Source organism: Homo sapiens, chromosome 8 (assembly GCF_000001405.40).
Source record: "Homo sapiens chromosome 8, GRCh38.p14 Primary Assembly".
Classification (NCBI taxonomy): domain Eukaryota; kingdom Metazoa; phylum Chordata; class Mammalia; order Primates; family Hominidae; genus Homo; species Homo sapiens.
Window position 1 is genome coordinate 72,534,825 of NC_000008.11, and position 27,503 is coordinate 72,562,327.

Below are 27,503 nucleotides of genomic sequence, written 5' to 3' on the forward strand. Positions count from 1 at the left end.
TGTTAAGAAATGTACACAGTAAATACATGGTATAGGAAGTGGAAGGTGATATATGTCTTAAAAAGATTGCTGGGACATTGTGCGACGGACACCAAAAGGGAGAAGTCATGGAAGAGGCAGAGTTTGAAGTGACTCTTCCAGGACTGTAATGCTTTGGACGTAAGACCTGGAGAAGGGTATCCCAGATACTCGCATGCAATGGCACAGAGGTAGGCAGATGCTGTCTGGTAGGAAATGGGACACCAGGGAATATTTGTGAGTAGGGAAATGATATGGTCAGGGTTTTGCGTGAGGAAAAGCAATTGGCAGAAAGTATTTAAACTGTGTGGGAGGGTGGAAAGGATGGGCGGGAGGGAATGGACTGCCTGCAGGTCCCTGGAAATGCAGAGCTGGAGCTTGGGACCAGGCCAGAGTTGGGGATAAGAGTTTGGGAATCTGGGTGTCCTCTTCCTAGTGTTCATAATTGAGAAACCCCAAGAAGAGCAAAGGGCAGGGCAGTTTCTTGCTGGAGGGTGACAACATCAGAAGGGCCAACCTCCATGCTAAATATCCCGCCCAACATCTGACACCTCAAAACAACAACAACAACCAAAACAAAACAAAAACCCACCACAAAACCAAAAACCCTCAGTACAAAGTAAGGCCACCTCCCCATAGCGAGGTGGGAAGTCAAGGTGCAGAGAATTAGAGAGGATAGCGCATTCCAGGGCATATCAGGGCTAAAACTAAGGCAAGGATGACATGGAGTATATTTAAAACAGTGTACTTGGTTCCAACAATGATAGACTGGATTAAGAAAATGTGGCACATATACACCATGGAATACTATGCAGCCATAAAAAATGATGAGTTCATGTCCTTTGTAGGGATATGGATGAAACTGGAAATCATCATTCTCAGCAAACTATCGCAAGGACAGAAAACCAAACACCGCATGTTCTCACTCCTAGGTGGGAATTGAACAATGAGAACACATGGACACAGGAAGGGGAATATCACACACCGGGGACTGTTGTGGGGTGGGGGGAGGGGGGAGGGATAGCATTAGGAGATATACCTAATGCTAAATGACGAGTTAATGGGTGCAGCACACCAACATGGCACATGTATACATATGTAACAAACCCACATGTACCCTAAAACTTAAAAGTATAATAATAATAAAATTTAAAAAAACACTCAATAAACAGAAGATACAAGGAAAAAATAAATAAATAAATAAATAAATAAATATAAATAAAACAGTGTACTTGGAACTTCCTCAACAGCCATCCTTCTTGGTCTATAGAAACTCAGGAGTCCCAGCTTTAAATAGACTTGTCACGGCCTGCGTTCGTTTCTAAAAGGTGTTTTAAGCTACTTTGTTTTCCTGAAAGCCCCTGTAACCGTGCCAGCTGTCTCTATTTCGTGCCTGTGAAGGAGCACTGGGGTCAGAAATATGTAAGGCTCAGTGTTATTATTCAAGTTCATTGTCTTTACCGAGCCCTGGAAGTGGGTACAGGTCTAAGTGTTCACCCTGCGGCCTCGCCAAGGGGTAACTTGGCATAGTTTTCCAGCTGGTAAGTTGATAGGCAAAGGAAAGAAAGAAGGGTATGAAGAGCGCCCCCGTGAGAAGCAAGGGTTAAGGTTGCCACGGACCCGGCTTTACCCTCAAACCCAGGAAAGCCGGGTCACTTGGGGCTAGGGACGGCCCCCGAGCGAGCGGGGCTGCAGGTGCCGCGAGGAAAGTCAGATCTTATCTGCGCTCCTAGTTATCTCCGCAGCTCTTTCTCCAGGAAAATAATCCTGGCACCACCACTCAGGAGCCATCTGTCTTCGCCCCAGTTCCCCGGGGTCGAGCAGTCAGCCCAGGGTCAGGGTCCTGCTGTGGGCGGGCGGGAGGACAGCCCTGCAGTTGGAAGCAGAAGGGCCGAGGGAATCCCGCGAAGCCGCCGGAGCGCGTCGCGGCGGGGCCTCCCGGGGCTTTCCCGGCCCCGGGTGCGCGGCAGCCGCGGGGGCTGCGTCCCTCTAGTCCAGTGCAGCCGGGTGGGAGCTGCAGAGCGAAGCAGGTGGGTGTGGAGCCAGGCCCGGGGCAGCAGGAGTGGCTGGCGCGCGGAAGCTGAGGGAGGCACCCCGCCGAGGTGTGGGCGGTGCCTGCCCGCGCCCCAGCCGCGCCCTGGGCACCAGAGCGCTGTCCCCGGCCGAGCGCACAGCTCCGGCGCCGCGAGGCAGAGCCCCGGCGTCCCCGGCGGTGCGCTGCCGGCTCGCGCAGCCCAGCCATCCCGCCCCGCCGCCCACCTTGACAGCCGGGAGCGCTGAGGAGGAAGAGGGGGAGGGGGAGGAGGAAGAGAAGGCGGCGGCCGCTCCAGCCCGCGGGTGCGCGGAGCGCGGGAGGAGGCGGAGCGGGAGGCTGGGGTGGCCGCAGCCCTGTGTGCGCGCCGGGCCGGCTAGCTGCGGGGCGGGGGAGCGGCGCCCCAGAGCGCCCCGCCTAGCCTCCCGCGCGCAGCCTCTACCCTGCTCCGCCACAGACACACACCCACCAAGCACCCACCGCCCTCCGCCCTCCGCCCTCCGCCCCCGCGGCCGCCGCCGCCGCTGCGCCTCGGGCAGCCCCAGCGAGCGGCAACTCCCGGGCTGGCGCGGCTCGCTTTCTGGCTCCTTCCGCGCGGCGAGCTCAGCCCCGCTCGATTTTTCCTCTTCTGTTCCAGCCCTCTCTTGTCTGGGTGGCTGTGGCGGCGGCAGGGGGATGGGGACCCCGTGTGGGGAAGGGGTTGAAGATCGATGAAGATTATTGTTCTTTTAAAGGATGCCTTAGCTTCCTCCCGCCGCCTTTCCTCTGAGCCTTCCTACTAGAGACCGTGAACCAGAGTCAGGGATGTAAAGACAGGGGGAAAGCACGCCGGGAGCTCCAGCCAGCCGGGGAGACCCTCCTCTCTGTGGAGGGGAGGGGGATTTCCAGCGACAGGTCATTGGCGAAGGGGATCGTCGCGGGGAGAGGCTCCCCGGAGGGAGCGGGGAATCCCACAGCCCTTTGTGGTGCCCGAGCCCGTGCCGCCTGCTGAGCGGGGTCTGTGGGAGCTAGGTAAGTGGCGGGGGCATTGCTGCTCCCCGAAGGGGGTCTTCCTTTAAGAATGAATCATCGCGGCAGCCTAGCCAGACTTGAGTTGCTAAAGGAATTGGAAACTGCCATATGGCGCCCAGTGGACTTACACACAAAGCTGACTTAGCCCTGAGAGGGTTTTTAATGTCAGGCTCCTTCCCGGTGGGGAAGGCGCTCAAGTATTAGCCCCTGAAAAGCTTCCCAGCAGCCTGACTGGGAAGGGATGGGGATGTTATTTCTAGGAGCCGAGCTCTTGTTGCCTTCCGTCCATTTGTTGGTAAATGCCACACTCACATGCACACACTTGTGGGACTGGATTTAGGGAGTGTGATGTCTCTGATGTATGAACGATCCTCAGAACACAGAGACATGCGTGCATTTTATTCTTCAAGCGGTGCGCGGTCTCCGTTCTGTAGCACGATTCCTGAGAGGGAGAACGGGTCTCTAAGGAAAGAGCTTCATGGCTGTTTCCAACACACTCTGCTAGGGGACTTGGGAATACGTTTGCCCTGAATAGCACCAAAAGACATCGACCATTTGCCTCATCATTTGCTCCCGATGCTTAATGATCCTCTTCAAAATAGTATGCCGCCATCCATTTTCTCGAGTTGTGAGCATTTATGCGTATTCATTCATAAAAACTGTCAGTGTGCAATATGCACAAACATGCCATTTATGCAACATTTATGACTGCACATGTGTTTCAACAATAAGTAATAATGCATACAAGATTACATTGAAAAAAATTTAGTATGCACATACACTGGGTTAATTCCGCGCAGGTTCAACATTCCTTCTAATCAAGTTGTGTAGTAATGTCAAGATTTTAAGTATCGTATCACATTTTCATTTTTGCATTGATTAATTTTTTTATTTTGTTGGGAATCTGATTTTTTGAAACTGAGGGAAAGGAAGAGTAAGCATTTTATTGTTATTGTTAAATGTGTAGTATAGTGTGGGTCGGAAGTCTCTTGGTTTATTTACCAATAAACAGCAATCAATATATTACATTTCATAGGACAAGCGAGAGATAGATTTCGGTCAAAAATCTTGTCTTACCTGTCAGTGCTGAATAACTTACAGGAAAGATTTTGTAAAAGAGGGTAACATTCTAAAGTTACATATCAAGAAAATAAAGTTTTGTTTTATCTATTTCACTCTTTAGGGGCATGTGTGTGTGTGTGTCAATAAATATAAAGTTGTCCAAAGCTTAACGTAATACATGAATAAAACCCATCTAGACTAGACATCTAGGCTAGAGAGTTCTTTGTTCTTAAATTAACTCAAACAGTTTAGTAATTTGGCACATTACACATGTGTATGCGCATTTAATTGCCGTTTGAGGTGGTGTTTTTAATTTAAGGGCATGGATAAAGTGCTTACTTGTGTGATTGCATGGACTCTGAAAATACTGAAGGTCCAACGTAGAAATAACTTTCTTCCCCACTGAAGGAAAAGTATCCTTATCACCTAGAAGAGTTAATATGCTTCCACAAAGTAAATACCATAATCCCCTCCCTCTTGCCTTAAGGTTTAGAACAATTGTTTATCACAAATAGAATTCTGTATAATGTACCCTTCTTCCTTTTCTGGCACTACTCAGACTTTTGGAGAAAGAACTTGGCAGTTCTGTTTGTTTTCTTGCTCCTTTAACCTTCACCTTTCCCTCTCCATGTTAGTGTTCTCAAATCTCCCTCATACACAAACCCACACGTATCGACTCCAGAAAAATCACTCTCCTGCCTGCCACTTTGAGAGTTCTCATCTCACATCTTTTCTATTGCCTCTCTTTTCTTTTCTTCTGTTTTTCCAAATAGAATCAATCCATGCATCCGTTGAAACTATTTTGCATTTCACTGTTCTCCAAGTCCAACAATTCAACTTTCCAAGCATACATATTTACTGAATATTCAGAGGAGTTAGTAGAAATTATTACTTTATCCATTCCCTTCTGTTTGGCTTTTAAAACTTCATAGTTTAGGCAATAGGGCAACTTCCTGCCTTTTTAACACTCACTATGATAATAAAAGTGAGATTGCTAGAATAACGAAATGGCAGGATATGGTTTCGGTCACGTTTCTCAACTTAAGAGTGTGTCTGTCCACGTGTTTTATATACCTGCCTGCATGTCTACAAATGTGCAAGTCTGCAGAGCATCTTCGTTAAACGTTGAAAAATATTTTTTCTTGAATGCGTATCTGGCATTCTTATATGGTAGAGAGATCAGTATATGTGTATAACATATTGTGAAAGTAGACCCAAATCTAGGAAACCTATAAGATATATTTCATTCTGCCCTAATGCATTTTTTTCTTCATAAAGAACTAATTAGTTCCTTTAAAACTTGCTATCTCTTAAAGACTAATTCCAAAGGAAGATTCTTAACGTTGATAGGAAATCTCATGCATATTTTAAGGAAAATATATAAAGGTAAGATATTCTGCTTATTTCAAAATGTAATTGTTTAAGATTTGTTTATATTCTTCAGATTGATTTTGCATAAAATCGAGATTTCTATTATTTTCACAGAAGCTTCAGACAGATGGACAATACAAAGGCATTATGTGTGATTTCTTTTTTAGCCCAGAGTTTTGTTATTGTTGTTGTTGTTGTTTGTTTTTTTTAAGGCTAGAGATTATGGCCTTGTTACTCCCCAAGTGATAGAATAAACTTTATAGAGCAGAGCAGCATTAGATTTTTTAGTCACATTCTACAAGTATCTTTATAGCCTAGATCTGTGGGCCATTCTGTTTCATTGCTTATTTCCTCCTTGTGCTTCTTAAATATGTATTCCCACCAACTCTTTACTGCAAGTACGGGTTGTGAGGCAGAAAGCCATGTGTGTGAGACAAGTAATCCCTTGACTTGTGTAAGCCAAACCCTCTTATATTATCTTAAAAAGTGCGTATTCCTATAGGTTGAATTTTAACTATCTTTGCTATCTGATTTGATGTCCCATAGCCACTCATTGACTCATTCATTAATTCATTTATTACTTACTAAATATATATATATAAGGAGAAGAGTGCTTGAATAGAATATAACAAATGTAAAAAATATAGAAGCTAGGCCCTGCTCCCAAGAATATTTTAGGGGGAAAAAAACTTGAAAAACTAATTGAAAAATCAGTTATAGTTCAAAATGAAAGATCTCTTTTATACAGAAATGCACTTAATAATTTTATACTTAGCAAATTAATTAAGACACATCCATGAAGAGGATCATGAAAATTTTCACAAACTATGCATTTGGCAGTTGTTATAAAACAATAAAAATAATAGTAATAATAATTTCATTAAAATATTTAATTTTAAATGTAGAGTATTATGATTATAAGTAATACTATTTATTTTATTGACGTATATAAAATAAAGTTATTATTATAGCACTTACTTGAGGCACATACTGTTTTAAGCATTTTACAAATATTATTTTCATTCTTACAACCACCCTATGGTGTAGCTGTCAGAAATGCCCTTTATTATATAGATATGAAAACTAATGTTCAGAGACTTTTCTTAACTTGTCTAAAGTCATATAGGAAATAAATGGTAAAGTCAAGCTTGAACCTAGGTGCTCTGGCTTCACTTAACCACTATGATATTCAGAAGTGTTAAAAACGAGCCCAGGCAGAACAAGAAAAAATGCTTGCAGTTCCTAGATTTATTTGGAACTGTATCTTCTCACTCACCAAAGGATGCCCTGCTTATTAGTACAGGAGGATGCTTGAAAAAGGCCAAAAGTAAGAGAAAACCCCCATATTTTCAACATGAATTTGAAATAAGAAGGTAGTTTAGATTTTTATAAGGTAGGTGGGATTTTATCAGAATGCTAACACATTAGAAACTACTAGCTTTACATCGACCACAGAAAATGAGGCTGGCTGATGCAGATGATCTCATTGGTCAGTTTATTTTCATTTTCAGGTTCTTTAAAAACAAGTTTGTGAATTATTTTGAACATAGTATTACAAATTTGTTTAATTTAGCTACTTTTAGAATTATTTGTTTTTTAAAAATTATTAGTTCTGAAATATAATTTTTTATGCATGTCCCCATTTTTTTCCCTGTGAAACATAACATGAATATTTCAATAGAAATTAAAATATGGTTACTTAACAGATTTACATACTAGTATAGTCTCTAGAATGCATTTATTTTATTAAGTGCAGAGTTACTATGATAACATTATGAAAACATAAATTGAGATTTTCATCAAGAAAAGTTTATATATTTGAAGAAAAGTTTTTTCTAAATAGCTACAACTTCTGTTTATGTGAACAATGTCATCCAGATTAAATTTGAAAGCTAAAATGATTAAATATTGCCTGCAGGAAGCCATAGAATCAAATATTTAGACATATCCTCATGATTGACATTTTAATTTTTCACACAATTATTAGGTCTTACAGGTTCAATCACATTGTATAGCCAACCTTGAACCTACAATTGGCTTATTAGATAAAATTTCATTTTAAAAATTTGGGTATTTTAGAACTTGTAAACATTTCCTTATAAAAATAGTACTTTAAATGATGTTTAGGTCCTCAGACCAATCCACCAAAGCCCTTTTAATAACTAATATACCTGAAGTACAGTACTGTTAGTATTAAAAAAACCCACAGCCAACTTAAAAATTAAAAATTAAAAATTATGTATGGCAATACTCCTGGGGAATCATTTGATTTACATAATGTTTATTGGCTTCCTTTGTGTGAGACTCACTTGAGATACAGAGGTGAATGCAGTACTGCCTAGGCCCACAAGGAGGAGAGAAAATGGAGAGGGTATTTGTACACAAGTAACTGACATCTGGCAGAATGAAGGAAGCGATATAAGAGTGATAGAGGCAAAGCACTGGATAATTGATTCAGAGTTCTACCATGAAATCCAGGGACTGCAATCCCTTCAGGGTTCTCATTTGGTAGTTCATCCTAAAGGTATCTACTCAGCTTCTGTGTGCCAAGTCCTAAGCCAGTTATTAGAGACATAAATATGCATAAGACACTATGCACTCACAGCCTACATTTGTAGAGAAATAAATCACAACCAAATATTATAAATGCTATTGATAGAGTGGGATGGCAATTCAACGGAGTAGTTGTATGACAGAAGCATCCCAACAGTAAGAAAATACAGTTGCTTTGAATTTCTAAATATATTTAGAGCCACAACACTCTACTCAGTCGGATCCAATACCCCCTTTTTATAAGCAGTACTTTGTAATGTCCCCTTTACTTTCCTGAAATAATATGTATAGATAATAAATCATATCTACACATATAACATTTTAAAAAGCAATATAAATTCCCTATCTGTAATAGAAAGAGTAAATAAGAAGAAAGCAACTTAAGATAAAATAGTAGGCTTATCAATATGTGCATGCTCAGATATAACTACACTAAAAGATGTACTAAAATAGATGCTTGCTACTTAAAATGCATAAGTTTGGATAAGAAGATAAGTTCAGATAAGATTAGAAGATAAACTTGGATAAGATGATAATATTCAATTGAATATTGGTAACACTTTTATATATTTGGCACTTTGAAATAAGAGCAAAATAAATATATTCATTGAGTGTGACAGCAGCAATTGCAAACAGATGTGGGTGTACTGGATTAATGAATCAATTAACAGGAGCAGCATGATAGCTGGTGACATAACTTCCCAAAATCGTGAGCAAATCTTGGTGATAGCACCTTCTATCATTCCTAGAAAATTCCTGTGTAAAAACATGCTATGAACAATAGGACTAGGGTCTAGTCACAGATAACAGTAAGCAAGTTTTTTATTTACATATATGTCTGGTGAGATGTGTAAAAGTTATGGAGGAAGCAGGATTTCCTGCATTCTTGGGCCTTGCCCTTCAAACACTTGACAACTTTAGGAAACTCACTCAAAAGGATCATATTCCTCTCATTCAGGAGCACTGATTATGGCTATATTCTCCCATTGAAGAAAGCCAATCCAATTCTACTGTGTGGGTGGCTATTTTGAAAAAGCTGAGCACTCTATGTTTTTAGTATGAAGGTAAGTTTAGCGGCTGACTAAATACAAATAAATAGCAACAAAATCAAACTATGTAGTTTGCTAAACATTAGGGACATCCTATTAGTGGGCACAATTTGATGATTTAATTATCACTGTGAAGAGTATCATTTTCTACGTGGGATAGTCAGACAGGACTTCACAGATGAAGTGACATCTAAGTTCATTTTTAAAAGATGAGTAAGCATTCCCCAAGTGGAAAAGGAGGTAGATGGAGAGCATTCTAGGCAGAAGGAACAGCATTTGCAAAGCAATGTCATAAAAAAGGGCTTGGCTGGTGACTGAAGGTCAGCATTGGCAGTTGTGGGGAAGTGATGGGAGACGAGGCTGAAGAAGGTTGAGGATTAGATGTGAAAGGTGTTTATGCCATCCTACATCATTTGGATTTTATCCTGAAAGGCAGGTTGTTGGGGGAGAGAGGGTCAATGGAAAATTTTTAAAAAGTGGTGTAATCCACTTTATTTTTGGCAACAATCTCTGAGCTAATGTGAATAGGATCAACTTTAACAGGAGAAAAGATTGATACTTTGGAGACTAGTTAGGAGTCTTTCAAGGAATACAACTAAGATAATGTCTAAGACTTGCTTTAAACAGGAATGGCGAAGAAGGGGAGGAGGATTTGAATTCCTGACGGCAAACACTTGCAATCTAAGGGTCTCCAAGTCTTCCACCTCCCAATACAGGTCATAATAGTAGGTATTACCCTCCTTTTTTGCTTTTCAATGGTGATTGTATTAGTTGAGGTAACTTTAACTTCTAAACTTCCATATTTCAGTGGTTAATAGAGTGGACATTTAATTTTTGCTTATATGAGAGTCCAATGTATGCATTCAGTGCAGTGATTTGGGGACCCAAATCTTGCTCTTGATACTAGAAACATGAAGCTCTCTGCATCCAGCTGACATTGTGGAAGAGAATGAACATAGAGAAGGCACACCCAAGTAGTGACACACCTGGCTTCCATTCACATTCTGTTGATGAGATAGTCACATTGCTCTGTCAGTATGCAAAGAGGGCTGGAGTATGCAACCTCTGGGTGGGAGGCTACTTTCCAGTCATATTTCTGTATCATGGAAAGGGAAGCATAGATTTTGCTAAACAAAAATTCTACTATATTCTGCTCTCTGGCTACAGATAGGAAAACCTCAACTCCAGAAAACAACCTGAATCTCACCTAGTCACTGTATCCATCTCAAAGTCCAGGTTCTATGGCTGATGCTGAGTGCCCGCCACCATTTAGTCTGGATATGGCCCCTCATTGTCTAGAAACTTTTGTACTAAAAGGCAAGTTATCAGCCTCCAATATACAGGCATACCTCATTTTTATGGTGCTTTGTTTTATTGTGCTTAACAGATGCTGCGATTTTCACAAATTGAAGGTTTGTGGCAACCCTGCATCACGCAAGTCTGTCAGTGCCGTTTTTCCAACAGTGTGCTCACTTCTTGTCTCTGTGTCACATTTTGGTAATTCTCCCAATATTTCAAATGTTATTGTTATATAGGTTATGCTGATCCATGATCAGTGATATTTGGGGCACCACGAGTTGTGCCCATATAAGATGGTAAACTTAATGGATGAATGTTGTGTGGGTCCCAACTTCTCCACTGACTGGCTATTCCCACATCTCTCTCCCTCTGCTTGGGCCTCCCTGTTCCCTGAGACACAACAATATTGAAAATAGGCCAATTAATAACCCTACAATGACCTTTAAGTATCCAAGTGAAAGGAAGAATCACATGTCTGTCACTTTAAATCAAAAGCTAGAAAGGATTAAGCTTAGTGAGGAAGGTATATTGAAAGCCAAGATAGGCTGAGAGTTAGTCCTCTTGTTCCAGTTAGCCAAGTTGTGAATGCAAAGGAAAAGTTATTGAAGGAAATTAAAAATGTTACTCCAATGAATACATGAATGATAATAAAGGAAAAAGAGTCTGATTGCTGATATGGAGAAAGTTTTAGTGGTCTGGATAGATCAAATTAGTCACAACATTCCCTTCAACCAAAGCCTAATCCAGAACAAGACCTTAACTCTCTTCAATTCCATGAAGGCTGAGAGAAGTGAGTTTTTCTGTGAGTTCTTGGATATTGGTAAAGGCCCCCTGTTCTGGCAATAGGGCACATTCCTTCTTTAGACCCTGGTTTGCTATCTTAGAAGAAATTCTTTGTTCTTTGTTCTCTGTTCTTCTGTTTCTTCAAACAGAAGAAAAGTTCAAAGCTAGCAGAGGTTGGTTCACAGGTTTAAAAAAAAATAAGCCATCTCCGTGATACAAAAGTGCAAGGTGGGCCGGGCGCAGTGGCTCACGCCTGTAATCCCAACACTTTGGGAGGCCGAGGCAGGTGGATCACAAGGTCAGGAGTTCAAGACCAGCCCGGCCAACTTGATGAAACCCCGTGTCTACTAAAAAAATACAAAAAAATTAGCCAGGCATGGTGGCAGGTGCCTGTAATCCCAGCTACTTGGGAGGCTGAGGCAGAGAATTGCTTGAACCTGAGAGGTGGAGGTTGCAGTGAGCCGAGATTGCACCACTGCACTCCAGCCTGGGTGGCAGAGCAAGACTCTGTGTCAAAAAAAAAAAAAAAGTGCAAGGTGAAGAAACAAGTGTTAAATATGGAAGCTGCAGCAAGTTACCCACAATATTTAGCTAAGATCATTGATGAAGGTGGCTACAATTAACAATAGATTTTTAAAATTTCTTTAGAGACAGGGTCTCACTCTGTCACCCAGTCTAGAGTGTAGTGGCATGATCACAGCTCACTGCAGCCTTGAACTCCTGGGCTCATGGGATCCTCCCCCTTCAGCCTTCCAAGTACTTGGGACTACAGGCATGCACCACAACACCTGGATAATTTTTTTATTGAAAATTTCTTTAATTAAAAAAAGACATGGTCTCACTGTGTTACCCACAACAGATTTTTAATGGAGATTAAACAGGCTTCTGTTGAAAGGTGACGCCATTTAGGCCTTTCCATAGCTAGAGAGAAGAAGTCAATGCCTGGCTTCAAAGCTTCAAAGGACAGGCTTACTCTCTTGGTAGGGGCTAATCTAGCTGGTGACCTTAAGTTGAATTCATTGCTTACTTTCTATTCTGAGAATCCTAGGGTCCTTAAGAATGATGCTAAATTTACTCTGCCTATGCTTTAGAAATGGAACAATGAAGCCTGAATGAACAATGCATTTGTTTACAGCATGGTTTACTGATATTTTAAGCCCACCATTAGAACCTACTGCTTATGAAAAAATTCTTTTCAAAATATTACTGCTTTTTGACAATGTTTCCCATCACCCAAGAGCTCTGAGGGAGATGTACATGGAGATTAATGTTTTCATGCCTGCTAACACAGTATCCACTCTGCAGCTCATGGATCAAGGAATAATTTTGACTTTCAAGCCTATTATTTCATAAATACCTTTTATAAGGCTATACCTGCCATATATAGTGATTCCTCTGATAGATCTGGACAAAGTTAATTAAAAACCTTCTGGAAAGGATTCACCATTCTAGATGCCATTAAGAACGTTTGTGATTGATGGGAGGAAGTCAAAATATCAACATTAACAGGAATTTGGCAGAAGTTGATTCTAACCTCCATGGATGACTTTGAGGGATTTAAAACTTCATTGAAGAAAATAACTGCACATATGGTGGAGAGAAGGAGAATTAGAAGTGGAGTCAGAAGATATACATGAATTGCTGTGACCTCATAATCAAACTTGAGCAGAGAAGGAGTTGCTTCTTATGAACGAGCAAAGAAAGTGATTTCTTCAGATGAAATTTACTCTTGATTGAAGACACTGTGAACATTGTTGAAATCACAACAAAGGATTTGGAATATTACACCAACTTAGTTGATAAAACAGAAACAAGATTTGAGATGATTGACTCGAATTTGAACAAAGTGCTAGTGTGGGTAAAATGCTATCAAATAGCATTGCATGCTACTGAGAAATCTTTTGTGAAAGGAAGACACAACTGTGCAAACTTCATTGTTGTCTCATTTTAAGAAATTGCCACAGCCACCCAAATCGTCAGCAGCTACCACTGAGATCAGTCAGCAGCCATAAACATCAAGGCAAGACCATCCATTAGCAAATAGATTACAATTCCCTGAAGGCTCTGAGGATTGTTAGCTTTTTTCCCCAATAGAGCATTTTAATTAAGGTATGAACATTTTTAATCGAAATAATATAAAATACTACAGTATTTTATAAACATTACCTTTACATGCACTGGGAAACCAAATATTTCTGTAACTTGCCTTATTGAGGTATTTGCTTTTTTGCCGTGGTCTGGAACTAAACCTGTAATATCTCTGAGGTATGCTTGTATAATGATGGATGAAGTTTGGAATGATTGCCTTTAAAATTTCCATTTGGAAAAATGAACAATGGGAGACATAAACCAGTCATTGACGCATAACATGGAAGAAGTCCTGTTGGATATTGTTAAAGGCCCCCTGTCCTGGCAATAGGGCACATTCCTTCTTTGGACCCTGGTTTGCTATCTTGGAAGAAATTCTTTGTTCTTTGTTCTGTGTAGTCCAGGCCACCTTCTGGGAGGTTCTTCATTGTCCATTACTCTCCATGACCACATGCAAAATGGGTGTTGGGAAGTATACCCTTCCTGGAACTTATAGGGCCTTATAGGCCTGCTTCTTCCCAATCCAAGCCTAGATACCTAGAGGTGGTTTTAAAGTCATTGGGTTTTTTTTTCTTTTTTCTTTTTTGTTAGGCCTGGCTCTTAATTTCTTTGACAATACAATTTCCTCAAAATTTTCATAAGTTACTTACGTATTTGCTTTCTGTCAGTTACACTACTAGCTACAGTGAAAGTTCTTTCCTATTCGTAATTTTTGAAGCTGTTTCATTCCTTTGTTCATGTCTTATACACCCATGTCTTAAGTGGTTATGTTGGGTTCATCTCAAAAATAGGCTTGGGTGGTTAGGTCACTTCATTAATGAGATATTTACTGCAAGGCTGAGTCACTTTGTCGAACTGGGAGGTTATAAGGGACTTGTGTTACTCAAAGCCTTTTTCATTGTTATTTCTCACCCTTATCCTCCCTGAAGAGTGGGCTGTTGCAGCTTCCTGAGGTCTTCTGTTTCAATCGTTTTTTAATACTTTGCTACAGGCAGTGAGGAGCAACCACCACACAATAACATTCTGGCTCTTTGCAATCTTTTTTTCTGAAGTTATAGACCTGCCTTCTAAGTTAGCACAGTTGTGCCAGGGCATGGCAGGGTCCAGGCATTTCGTCTTCTATATCCCTTTCCTTGCTTGGGGCAATGCCACATAATTAGATTTTTGTAAAGGCAGCACTCCCACGCCCCCTAACATCAAGGTGTCAATGTTAGGATAATGCTAGCTCATCCTGTAACAAACACCAGAATGTTAGCGATTTGGCATAACAAAAGTATATTTCTCATTCACATAACAATCAAATGAAGAGTGCGAGAGCACAGAAAAGGCACGACCAGTTCTTAAACATCTTGACTCAGGTGTGACAACAACACTTCTGCTTATATTCCACTGATGAAAACTAGTCAGATACCACTCTATCTAGATGCCTAGATGAGGGGGCTGGGAGTAGGGGCTGTGAAATGTAATATTTGGCTCAACAGGAACTTCTCAGTGGCAATTATATAAGGTGAACTATAAATTTAAATAAACAACTAGCCATCCCTGCTGTCGTCATATTTCTTCAAAATAAATTAGGGGAGAAAAGTGTTTGAATTGCATCCACTCACTGGTTAATCCATGCTGTGCCACATCCTTCACCACACGCCTGTGTTCTCTTTGGCTCCTCTCAGACCTCTGGGATGTCTTCCTCTGGGACACATCTCCCTTCCTTCTCTAATCAATCAGTATTATAGTGCCCTCATATATAAAAGACTCTGGCTGAGTGCATTGGGATAAAGGATGGTAATTATAGCATAGACAAGAAACTAATTCTAATTAAATGTTAGATGTCACTGCTCCTAAAAATGCATTTACCATTCCTCATCACAGGAGTTTTCTCATTGGTCCATGTCTCACTGGGGCCCAGGTACCAGCCATTTTCTGGACACCTCACCAGCCATTTGCTAGGTCTCTCTCTTCCTCTGGACACTTCCTCCCATCTCTTCATCCAGAATTTTCCCACTATCCTTTCTCAAGATGACAATGGATGATTCCAAAAGACAGAGGTAGTTCATTATGCTGAACTATTTAACTCTTGTTTGCCTCTGACTTGCCCAAGGGCACTTGCCAGTAATAGCCAAATAGCCCATTATGTTTTTTTCTGAAATGAGAAAGCAATTCTTTCCCCAGGAGGACTTACTGCTTCTTATACTCTAACTGGCTGGAAATTGTAGCCAGCTTTTTACAGGTGCACATTCAGCTAATATTTATTAAACACTTTTCAGGTGTAAAGTACTCTGCTAGGTCATGAGGTTATGCAAACTTAGTCCTTACCCTTTCGAGGCTTATGGTCTGCCTGAAAACAAACATAGAACCCCTAGATCCCTTGCAGTGCTAATTGCAGTGAGTTTGCCCCAGGTCCAAACAATTGATAATTCTTTGGGTTGTGGAGTATTTTGAAAGGGATGGGGAGTAGCAGCATGCAGGCTGTGGTGTGCTAAATTGGGGAAGTTGAGACATTATGCTGTCATTATTTCCCAGAGATAAATTCTGTGCTCTGCTTCTGGTCACCTAGTTATTTTTTGCAGACTCCAGGTCTTAAGCTATGTGGTTCTTTTTACACTCCCTGCTCCTATTTTCTGACAGTCAGGAAAAGCCAGTCCTAAAAGGAGATCAGTCAGGTATGGGAAAGTGGCATCTGGAGAGAATAGAGCAAATGACAGATGGCAATCCCAGTAGACAGGAAGTTAGACTTTCTTCCTAGGGAATGTCCTGGCCAAATATGGTAGGCAGTGTCTGGGAGCAGGCGATATTTGGAGATTCAGACAGGCAGGGCTGACAGAGACAGGCAGGGATAGAATGGTCCAGCCCCATAGGCTCAGAATGCTGCTGCTGGAGGGGACATAGAGTTTAGGAAGAAGCCTCTTTTAAGTAGCTAGCAGGGGCCTACACAGTTAAGACATCTCCATTCTCAGGAAGACAGGGTGATGTTCACTTCATTAATGAAGGGATCCAGGCACAATGGACAGGACCATTTCTTACGCCATCACCAAAGCACCAACCCCACCTTCATGATGTTCCACTATAGCTTACTAACTGGACTCAGCTTCTTTTCTTGTCCTCTCAATTAATTTTGCCCTTTTTTGTTGTTGTTGTTGTTTGTTTATTTTTTACAAAAAGCAAATCTGATTGTGTCACTCATTTACCTAAAACCCTTAAATGATTTCCCACTTTTCTTAGGATAAGGTCCTAAACCTTCAACTTGGGGGCTACCATATTCCTCCTTCATTTCCCAAAGCATCACTAGTAGAAAGCTGTTGTACATGACGGGCTCTGGTCAGTCTGGCCCCTTGTCGCCAGCATCGTCTCAGGCCCCACTCATCCTTTGTTTTCTGTTACAATTTCTGGCTTTATTTTAGTTCATCTGAAGTGCCCTGGGCTTTCTTGCTAGAAGGCCGTCTCGCATAGTTACTTGGGATGCTCTCTCTTCCCACTTTCACCTAATACATTCTTACTCATGTCTCTGAACTCAGGTCAAAAATCACTTGCTCAAAGAAGTCTTCTTGGCTCCCAGAGCAGGGGCGGTGACTCATCATGCCGTCTTCTAGCACCCTGATTCGTTATGGCACTTACCCCAAATCTAACTTTAAAATTTCAGGCATTTACTCATTTAATATCAGCTTTCTCACACTAATATCAGCATCCTTTGCAAGAATATAAACTCAGTGAAGGCAGGGACTGCTGCTTTCATGCACTTCTTTATCCACAGCACCTCTCACAACTCCATGCACATAGCAGATGCTTATTATTTGTTTGTTGAATAAATGAGTAAAGGAATGGATGGAGCTGGGGCCCAAGTCAAGTTCTAGGTCATAAAATGGAACCGGGAGCCCAGTTCCCAAGAACTGCTGTTCAGGGTAGGGCAGGATAGGACCAGAGCAAGTCTGCCTGATGATGAAGCGCCAAACCATGACCGTGCACTATTTACACTCATGAACTCTATATTCTTCTTGACAAGGACCAAGATGGTCCTAAAACCCAAGAGGAAGTAGAGTTTGTAATTGGAGTCCCAGGGTATACCACTGCTGAGAATGGGAGTAGAGGTAGAAGGTGGTAGAAACACAATCAAGGCAAAACATGTTCTTCCAACAGAATTTTTTCTGCCATTCTTATTAAGAACAGAACTTATTTCTTATTTAAGAACAGAACTCAGCCTCATAACTTCACAGGAAAGTTGTCTAGACCAGTGCTTCCCAATAGAACTTGATGTGATGATGGAAATGTTCTATATTGGTGCTCTCCAATACAGTAGTCACTAGCCACATGAGCTATTGAATATTTGAAACATAACTTGAGAGACTGAGAAGTTGAATTTTAAATTTATGTGATTTATGTTGAAATAGCCACATGTGACTAGTGGCTACCATGCTAGATAGTATATAGGTCTAGACTATTATTAGCATGAACTACCTTAAGAAACTAAGTTTCAAAAGCAGTGTGGTTTAAATTTTAGACATATTCATTTACAACCAGTGTTGGCCTCCAGTTTACTGTATAAACATGTAAGCAATCTTTGGTGCCCAGTACCAGTTTGACTTTGATGAGTGTCTCCTAGGTACATCCTATTGAAGGGATTTGAATGAACTATCTCTTGTTTCTGTCCACTGGCACTGTTCTTTATTGAGGGCATTTCTGTCTTTAGGCAGGTTGTACAAAATGTGAAGTATTGTACACATGTAGAACACTTTCTCTGTAAGTATCTATGTCATATGACTGTCTCACATCCACTTTTCCCAGGCAGGATTTTTTTTTTGTACCCTCCCCTCTTCTTTGTTTCTCTCCTTCCTCTCTTACTGTTTCCTTTTTTGACGTCTAAAATGACAAAGATACAACACTGTGTCCTTTAACAAGTTCCTTTTCTTTTGCACGTTCATTTCTTTTCCTTTGTGCTTATTTCTATAAGCTGTTTTATGAGTTCAGATCCTTAACAACAAAAAAATTTAAAAAAAACACACAGACCAAAATACAGTTCAAATCATTAGCAACAACAACAAAATCTCAGAAATGATGATAGCTCTTGGCTTGCTGTTTCATACATTTTGGATATTGATCAGATATAATAATTTCAATATCAATATATGAAGAATTTAACGTAAGCCATTGCACTTGGTTTTTCCCAGTTTTCACCTAGATAACATGGTAGTTGCTTTTAATCCTTTGAAATTGCCCATTTGTCTGACTCTTGAGTTCTTTGCCCTGCTTTCCACAAATAAAAAAACTTTCCAATGAGGAAATACCAGAATAAGAATGTGGTGTTTAGAAGGCAAAAATCTGAAATATCATAATAAAGTACAAAGAAAGAGTCTATCTTTACTCCTTTTTCCCTAGTCTGAATAGCTTAGAACAAATGTGTCTCAGGGCTTTCATGCTAAATGTTCCCAGTTCATAAAATCGTGATTATTAATCAGGTTATCATTAAATATTAACTTACTTTTGAGATAAATGTCATTTTAAATTTGGAATCCTACTTTTTTTTCTAAATCTAAGGAGAGCATTTTCATTAGGCTTTATGGAAAGAGTGCACATAGAAAGCTTAGAAGCTATTAAGAAGCTACTTCTTAAACTTGGCTTCTGGTTTCATTCCAGCCCAGCCAAATAATTTCCAGCATAATAAACACAATTTGTAAACATCTATATGAAGCTAAAGTAGAATATTATGGTAATCATTTTTGTCATTTTTTTAAATCTGGGGAGCTATTTTATTGCAGGCATTTTATAACATTTGGAATACAGTGCTTCATGGGTAGTAGATGCTCAATAAATATTTGTTGAATGAATTAGCAAATTAATAAAACCTCAAAGAGTTTTTAAAATTACAAATGGGGGCTAAGACTATTGTGTCCATAAATGCATACTATATTCCACAAAGCCCCATGAATTAAAATATCCGTGTCATTTGCTGGTACTTTATATTAGTTTCTCTTCTTTTACAGCAATACATTTAAATCAGGGAGACAGTTTCAACTAGGTGCTAGTTAAATACATATTCAAGTCCATAATGTTATCTGGGCCTACAAAACGCATGCTAGAACACAAAACCAAAAGTTCCTGTAATATTCTTTGCGGTGATCCTGTGGGTTTCTTGAGAGCAAAGGGCTACTTTACCCAATTTTGCATCATCTCCCATGCTCGATATATAGTGACAGTCAAGTAACATTGTTTTGGAAAGAGGAGACAGAATGAGAGGAATAATGGATCTAAATCCGTATTTCTTATTTATATTTTATGGTCTTTTTCCATTCTGACCATTATTGGAATAGTAGAAATTATAGACTTATGTTGTAGCCAGGAATCATTAATAATAAGGTTCAACTCACCAGTATTTATAGGTTTCACTGGGTATGAGATAGTCAGATTACTCTTGCTTCACATTTTTTCTCTTCCATTGTTTAAATTGTATATTTATTTTTGGTGCTCTGCGGTAGCAAAGTCTAATACAAAGAACTAGGTTCAGAAGCAGGAGCTTTAGCTACTGGCCCTGATGCTGAAAAGGCCCTGGGAAGATTGTTTAAATCTACCAGTGTTTTTCACCTAGTTAGAGTGGACCCCTTCTAACTATAAATTTTGTATTTTCAACATTTAAAAAATATTCTTGGCATCTATTTTGACCATAAATCTTGAATACTAAGACTATTAGCATTACTTCTGAAAGTCACATACTAAAACTTATGTTTAGTTTTAAAAATTCAGAGCTGCCAAAACAGTTGCCAATTCTACCATCTCTATCCATAAGAGAATTGTAACGTGATAGTAGATGTTATACATGTCATTCAGGCCAAGGGGTAGACAAAATATTACAGGAATTATTTATGTTCACTCTTACCTTCAATATCATGCTACTAGGATTGCTCAATATTGATCCCATATTTCTGCTTATTTATTATAGGCATCCAGAATCCTTCAATTCAAGGAAAATTCCCAGTGTCTTATAAGGTCAAGAACATGGTCTTTGGATTAAGATAATGCTGGGTTGGAATCTTGGAGGCAGCACCTCCTAGTTGTGTTGTGAGCAAGAAACTTACCTTTCTGAGCCTCAGTTTCTTAACCTATAAATAAAAGATAATAATACCCATCCCAAGGAGGGATGAGAAATAATGAGAATTCTCACCATGCGAATTAACTGCAATAAGCACAGTGGCTACATATAATAATCACTTAATATTTGGTAGGTGATGAAAATGATAATCATTAACAAAATTCACAAAGCAAATGAGATCATAACTTTGGCTCTCTTTCAGATACAACTCTAAGAATATCCCTACTTTCTAGGAAATGTAAATTTTACTTATGGGCATTTTGATCTTAAGCTGAAATAAAATCCAAATTGTAAAACCGAATCCATCACAATAGCTTATTTTACACCGACATGTTCTTTTATTATAATCCTGACTACATGCAGCTTGCAAAGCTGAAAAACAGTGCTTTAAATATCACCATCTCTGAATCCAGAAAAACTAGTTCTTTCCTTGAAGAAAAAAAAAATGAAAAAAACCCATAACAATATTAAAGAAGAATTTTTTTTTTGGCATTTCATTTTGGTTTTAATTTGAATGTTTTTAAAGATTTAAAAAGATTAAAGCCTCTTTGTAGGCTTATTGGCCATTTGGATTTTCTTTTTATTTTATTTTATTTTATTTTATTATACTTTAAGTTTTAGGGTACATGTATGTGCACAATGTGCAGGTTAGTTACATATGTATACATGTGTCATGCTGGTGTGCTGCACCCATTAACTCGTCATTTAGCATTAGGTTTTTTAAAGGAAAATAGAATCCATAATTTCACAACCCTTAACCACACTACTCCTTTCAATGAGAATAATATCCTTCGTTTGTTTTTGAATATTTTCTCTCTTTGTCCATAGTAACATTGTCTGTTATATACTGTTGCAACCATAATTATTATGATTTTCCACACTGTTTTTCTCATTATTTATTTCAAGACTGCATCATCTGGTACAAGTCACGTGAACTCAGGGCTTCAGTTGGTCCATCTGTGGGTCCCTAATTTTTACATTTTTATTTTAGAAAATGTTGATGGAAATCGATAAGTTCATGTTCCTCACCAAATGCTTTGATATTTTCTTATCAAATTTTGCTGAATTATATTTCTAGCAGTAAATTTAACATCCTAAGATTCATAGATGCTAGTAGGTCATCTTGCCCATCTGCCTTACTTTTTTACCATTAATTATTTATTATTGTTGTAGCTTCCTAGTGTTTTACACAACAGAGACACATGGTAGGTTGAGAGAGGGGGCAGGGGAGAGGGAAAGAATATTTATAAAGTGCCATACACAGATGGATGGTTAAAAAATGCTGTTTAATGATCCTCACTAATGATAAGGATGGATGGAAAACATTATTCCCAAGGAATGTGGAGATGGTGGTGTCTATAGTTCAGGGAAACTCTTCCCTTTTCTATCTAATAATGAATAGAAATAATATCTAATAATGAATAGAAAAAAATCAAGCATACAATCGATTTTGACAAAGTCCAATTTTTAAATTAATTCCATAATACCATTGATTTGTTAGAAACTTGTTTTTCATGCTTGAATCTAGAACACAGTGTTTTGAGTATGAGTAGTCAGGGAAAGAACAAAAAGGGACCTCCAGTTGATGCTATGCCGAGTGTCCCAAGGTGAATTTTGGAAGCGGTCTGCTTTGAGGCTGATGGTATGGTATCTTAGTCCTTTGGGACTATTACTACAGGATATCTTAGACGAGGTAACTTATGAACAGCAGAAATTTATTTCTCACAGTTCTGGAGGATAGGAAGTTCAAGATCAAGGTGCTGGCAGATTTAGTGTCTGGTGAGGGCCTCTTCCTTAAAGATCATGTCTTCTTGCTGTGTCAAGGACACAGGCAGCTGTCTGGGGCCTGTTCTATAGACACTAATCCCATTCATGAGGGCCCTGCTCTCATGACCTAATCACTCCCAAAAGGTCCCACCTCTTAATACCATCAACTTGGGAAGCAGGATTTCAACATAGGAATTCTGATGGGATGCAAGCATTCAGACCATAGTACATGGCCACCTGTGTATTGTGATTAGAATACATCAGGAAAGACTCTCACCTTTCCCCTCACATGATTTTCCCATCCCAATTACTGCCCAGCATGTATTTCCATTATTGTAGGATTATTCCTTTGAGGCTTCACATGGAAATACATTCTATTATTCGGAAAGAGAAGAGACAATTGTTAACAGGTATAAGCTTATATTTTGAAGAAAAAAATGGACTCACTAACTTTGATGCATTCTTTTCTTTTACTTTTCTTTATTTTTTAATTGGTGAAAATGCCATCATATTGAAGAGACCCTCACCAGACATGAAATATCTTTCCTAGGACATGAAATATCTTTCCTAGGAGTGAGTGAGTATAAGCTGAGAAATGGAAAATTCACTTGTACAACATTTTAAACTTAAGAAATTTACCAAAGTCAACTTTTTCCTATTCCTCATCAGTCCAGTGGAAGATGTAGATGAGTAGTAATCACACAGAAATCTCACAGAACCATAAAATTGCAGTGACAGAAAGCACTTGAGGTCCATCTTGTCAATATCCACAGACTAGGAGCTTCTCTTGTGCATACCTGACAGGTGATCACCTGGGTCTTCATGAACACTGCCACACAGTGGGCCTGGTAGTTTTTTGAGGTAGCACTGTCCATTGTTGGGCAACAATAATTACTAGAGAGTTTTATATATGTACAAGTTGTTCTCTACCTAGTTCCAGGAAATCCAGCTCTTACTTTTAACACAGGCCTTGTTAAAGTTGGTAAATAAAGGTCATCAGAACTTCTAAATAAATTGGAGGCTATCCATAATAACTGGTATTATGCTAACCAAAATATCTAACAAAACAAACAAGATACTAGTGCTTTGAAATTTATTACTTATTCATTCATTTTTTGGGGGTAGTCCACAACATGTGTTAAGCATTCATATTAGGTGACACACTAGCTAGGTACAAAAGATGCAGATATGGATACAGAGATGTTTGTCAATTTTAAATAACTCACGTCAAGTAGATGTTTCCAGGTTTAAGCCCTCATGGCAACTTGTACTTTGCTGTTGTTGCTTTTATTAGAATTGTAGTTAGTTGCTTGCATGCTTGTAGAATATCTGTCTACCTCCATGAGAATGTAAGCTGCACCATGTCAGAGACTGTGCCTCAAGCAGTGTAGGGGTTCATACATATTTGCTGCATGATAAGAAAGGATTCTAATTGAATAGTTATAATGAGAAAAGCACTATAATAGATAAAACAAACTTCTAACCCACTGAAGCAGGAAAGATTAATTCTTTCCGGGAAGGTACTTATCCTTGATCTTGAATAATGAGTAAAAGTTTATTAGGTGGAAAATGCGGAAAAGAATATTTCATACGTGGAAGTCATATTGAATTTGGGGAATGGCAGGTAACACGAGGTAGTGGGAATGAGAGGAAACTGAATTTTAAATAAATAAGGAAGGACTTAATTAAACCCGATTATTTACTTTTTTAGTTAACTAATATTTATTGCACGTCACTTGGGGCACAATGATGAATAAGATCAGATGTGATCCCTGCCCTCCAGGAACTTAGAATCTAGTGAAGAAGATGGATATTTATCAAATAATCAAAGTAATCATCCCAACAAATATATAATTGATGTTGTGACAAATGCTACTACAGATGAAAGGTACCTGGTTCTAAAGTTCTTACAATAAGAGGATTATTGGATCGTCAGGGAGGTCAGGGGACAATAATATGTGATCCTTGAGTTGATATCTGAAGGTGAAGAGGGGAAAGAAAAGAAGTACAAATTCCCTGTTCCCTGTGGCAGAGGGAGAATAGCACATTAAAGAAATGAAAGAAGGATCTACAACAGAGAGAGAGAGAGGGCTGGGGGGAGCAGCAAGGGACATGTAGAAGCACAGAAGTAAGTGAAATATAGACCTTGAAGTCTTTGTATAGTGTTGTGTCTTTTTCTTTCTTTATTTTATTTTGTTTTATTTTATTTTATTTTATTATTTATTTTTTTGGAGATGGAGTCCCATTCTGTTCCCCAGGATGGAGTGCAGTGATGTGATCTGGGCTCATTGCAACCTCTGCTACCTGGTTCAAGTGATTCTCCTGCCTCAGCCTCCTGAGTAGCTGGGATTACAGGTGCGCGCTACTACACCCGGCTAATTTTTGTATTTTTAGTAGAGACAGGGTTTCACCGTGTTTCCCAGGCTGATCTTGAACTCTTGAGCTCAGGCAATCCACCTGCCTCAGCCTCCCAAAGTGCTGGGATTACAGGTGTGAGCCACCGCACCCGGCCAGTGTTGTGTCTTAATCCTGAGAGCCAGGAAGCCGTGAGAGCATCTTCTACAAGAGATGGCCCTGACCTGCTGGGGTTTGGGCTGTAGTGTGCAGAACTGACTGGAGAGATCCAGGGCAGAAGGAGGTTGTTATCATCAAAACCAGTGCTAGGGAAGCAGAGATAAGGAAAGAGCAGTTCTAGGAAGTGCACCTCTCTTTGCAAGAACACAATTAATTTGCCTGACTGCGGCCATTACCCTTTACTGAAACAAACAATATGTAGGAGATAACTCATCTCAACTTCGTGTAGTTTGGATTAGTATTTTGACATGGGGATAGATTAAGAAAAGTTTTTTAAAACTCTGACTAGCAGGTGAAAAGCAAATAATAGTGAGGTGGAATTTAATGGAAAGAGACTTGTGTATAGACAACTAGAGATCTGGGTTCTAGTTCAAGCTCAGCAACTATCAACTGAGGTCAGACAAGTCATGCGACCTCAGTTTTAAAAGATGTAAATAAAGAAATTGGACCAGATCATATCTAAACTCCCTTCTGCCACATTCTGTGATTTTAGTCTCAAAACATGGAGGTATATAAAGCATGACATAATACTTAAGTCATAGAGACTTCTCAGTATTTGAGCTTTTAATACAGGCACATTACATATAATGTGTTTGATTATGGAGAAATAGGAACAGAATGATAATTTAAAGTGTATTTTTACTATGAGACAGAGCCCAACTGAGAAATAGTCCTTGTACATGAATATTACTACTAAACATTTCAGACCAATCATTACATGATCTAAAAGTTAATTTTTACTGGAAGAGACCTAACAAATTGTTCAAATCCTATCCAAATTTCATGAACATTTCCATATTTGGTTTCATAGAGGCTAAGTCTATCTTATGCCAAACATCCAAATGGAATGTAAAACTTATGTCATTCACCCAAATAGTGGATTGTGTCATTCACGTGGAATCAGGTAGTGACTGAAGTTCGTGATTTATTTTTCAGGGTATTACTGGGTGGCCTATTGTTTCCCATTCCTTTCAGTAGTACCAGTAGATTCTCTGTTGGTTGCCTTCCTTATTTTTTTCATCACCTTTCATCTTTATCGCCTTCATTACACTGTGAGTCTGGGAAGACTTGCAAAAGGAAAGATTTAGAAGGACACACCTTGGACGCCAGTGTAAAGGGCACTTTTACCGTCATAATAGAAAACCCACTAGCTGAATAGCTGAATGTAGATATAAAAATTTGAGCCCTTTTCTGTGTGCATTTTGAAGCACACTAAAAATTTCCAGCCATCACTATACCTTGTAGTCTATAAAAGGTCCAAGATGCTTTATAATTCAATATTATATTTTTCAGAATAAAGAAAGGTTTTTTTTCTGGTCAGCTATGTTTTATAAAAGGCCATTTTTCTAAAGACAAATCTGGTGTTTTATTCTGTAATTTTAGTGAACATATATGTTTAGGGCCTAGTTCTTTAAATAATTATCCTGATGAAGAAAAATTATATTACGGGGTCTAAACAAAATAGTTTATTTATAAATTTGGAGACAGCTATGATATTGAAAGATGCTCATATTACATATCCTATTTATTACTTGTCTTGTCCCCTTCTTATTGCAACACAATGCTTCCTTTGACCACTGAAAGGAAAGCTTTTAGGATTTCATCTGAGTGTATCTAAAAAAAGCATCGGTTATATCAAGGATAAAAGTTCTAATTTTTTTTTTTTTTTGACACAGAGTCTTGCTCTGTCACTAGGCTGGAGTGCAGTGGCACAATCTCGGCTCATTGCAACCTCTGCCTCCCAGGTTCTGGCAATTCTCCTGCCTCAGCCTCCTGAGTAGCTGGGACTACAGGTGTGCGCCACCACTCCCAGATAATTTTTGTATTTTTTGTAGAGATGGGGTTTCACCACTTTGGCCAGGATGGTCTCGATCTCTTGACCTCATAATCTGCCCACCTTGGCCTCCCAAAAAAGTTCTATTTTTTTTTTAAACTAAGGAGTATATAGTTGTGCTAAATTTGAGGAACAAAATGATATTAGCAGCCTTTGATTGCAGAAAAGAAATGTCACCTTCCACTTTCTAAGGACAAGGACAGCATTTCAGTTATTTCTAGAACTTTATGTGTTAAAAAATAATAAGCAGTATGAAATTTATTAAATATTTCTGACCAGGTTCTAAAGTAATGCAGGTTGCAGGTTTGTTGAATTTCTTAGAATAGCTGAAAATTTCCAGGATCTTACTTTTATATATATATATATATATATATATATATATATATATCTATATCTATATATATATGTATATATATATATGGATATATATATATATGGATATATATATACATATATATATATATGAATGATAGTTTTTAACTTGCTATAATGTTATTGGTTTTTATTAGTAAATTTTGGAGGTGCTTTCAAAAATTGCAGCCAACAATAGAATTAAAAAATATACATTGATTTAATCTTCAGCTAACAGTTACAATGCCTTTCTCTTCAGATATCTACTGCAAATCATCTTGTGGTTCTTTGAAACATAGTTTCTACAGAAACTTACTACTTAATGCTATACATGAAAATTTAAGAAAATGCCTTAGAGCTATATATGGAGTGATACAGACTTAAAGGTCTCAGAGATGTTTGTTTGCAGTGCCTGCTCAGCATGTTCTAGCAACACAAAAATGAAATGTTAAACATCACTTACAACTTTAGAAAGGTTTGCTTTTTATCTTCACAGGATCGCACATGTGACTTACCCTGCCTGGCTCCATGAAGGAAGTGTCAAGTGTATGACATAATGCTAGTATTTTTGAGACTACAGTAAACCCCACTCCCCCTCCAAACCTGGAGCCTCAAGCTGTAATTAGGATGCCATGA

General features: G+C 39.2%; 1 protein-coding gene across 1 annotated transcript in view, besides 4 other annotated features; it reads left to right on the forward strand.

The window, feature by feature from the left end:
• Positions 1,991-2,120: a silencer, noted in NCBI's record as "silent region_19281". NCBI's record gives its function as "represses an Ori minimal core promoter by ATAC-STARR-seq in GM12878 lymphoblastoid cells {active_cell/tissue: GM12878}" and the evidence as "EXISTENCE:reporter gene assay evidence [ECO:0000049][PMID:35858748]".
• Positions 2,131-2,180: a silencer, noted in NCBI's record as "silent region_19282". NCBI's record gives its function as "represses an Ori minimal core promoter by ATAC-STARR-seq in GM12878 lymphoblastoid cells {active_cell/tissue: GM12878}" and the evidence as "EXISTENCE:reporter gene assay evidence [ECO:0000049][PMID:35858748]".
• Positions 2,191-2,250: a silencer, noted in NCBI's record as "silent region_19283". NCBI's record gives its function as "represses an Ori minimal core promoter by ATAC-STARR-seq in GM12878 lymphoblastoid cells {active_cell/tissue: GM12878}" and the evidence as "EXISTENCE:reporter gene assay evidence [ECO:0000049][PMID:35858748]".
• Positions 2,401-27,503, forward strand: part of KCNB2 (potassium voltage-gated channel subfamily B member 2) — a 401,125-nt gene continuing 376,022 nt past the window's right edge. Inside the window, exon 1 of the mRNA NM_004770.3 lies at positions 2,401-3,061. The gene's annotated coding sequence lies outside the window, so the exon portion shown is untranslated. The remainder of the gene's footprint in view (positions 3,062-27,503) is intronic.
• Positions 2,411-2,460: a silencer, noted in NCBI's record as "silent region_19284". NCBI's record gives its function as "represses an Ori minimal core promoter by ATAC-STARR-seq in GM12878 lymphoblastoid cells {active_cell/tissue: GM12878}" and the evidence as "EXISTENCE:reporter gene assay evidence [ECO:0000049][PMID:35858748]".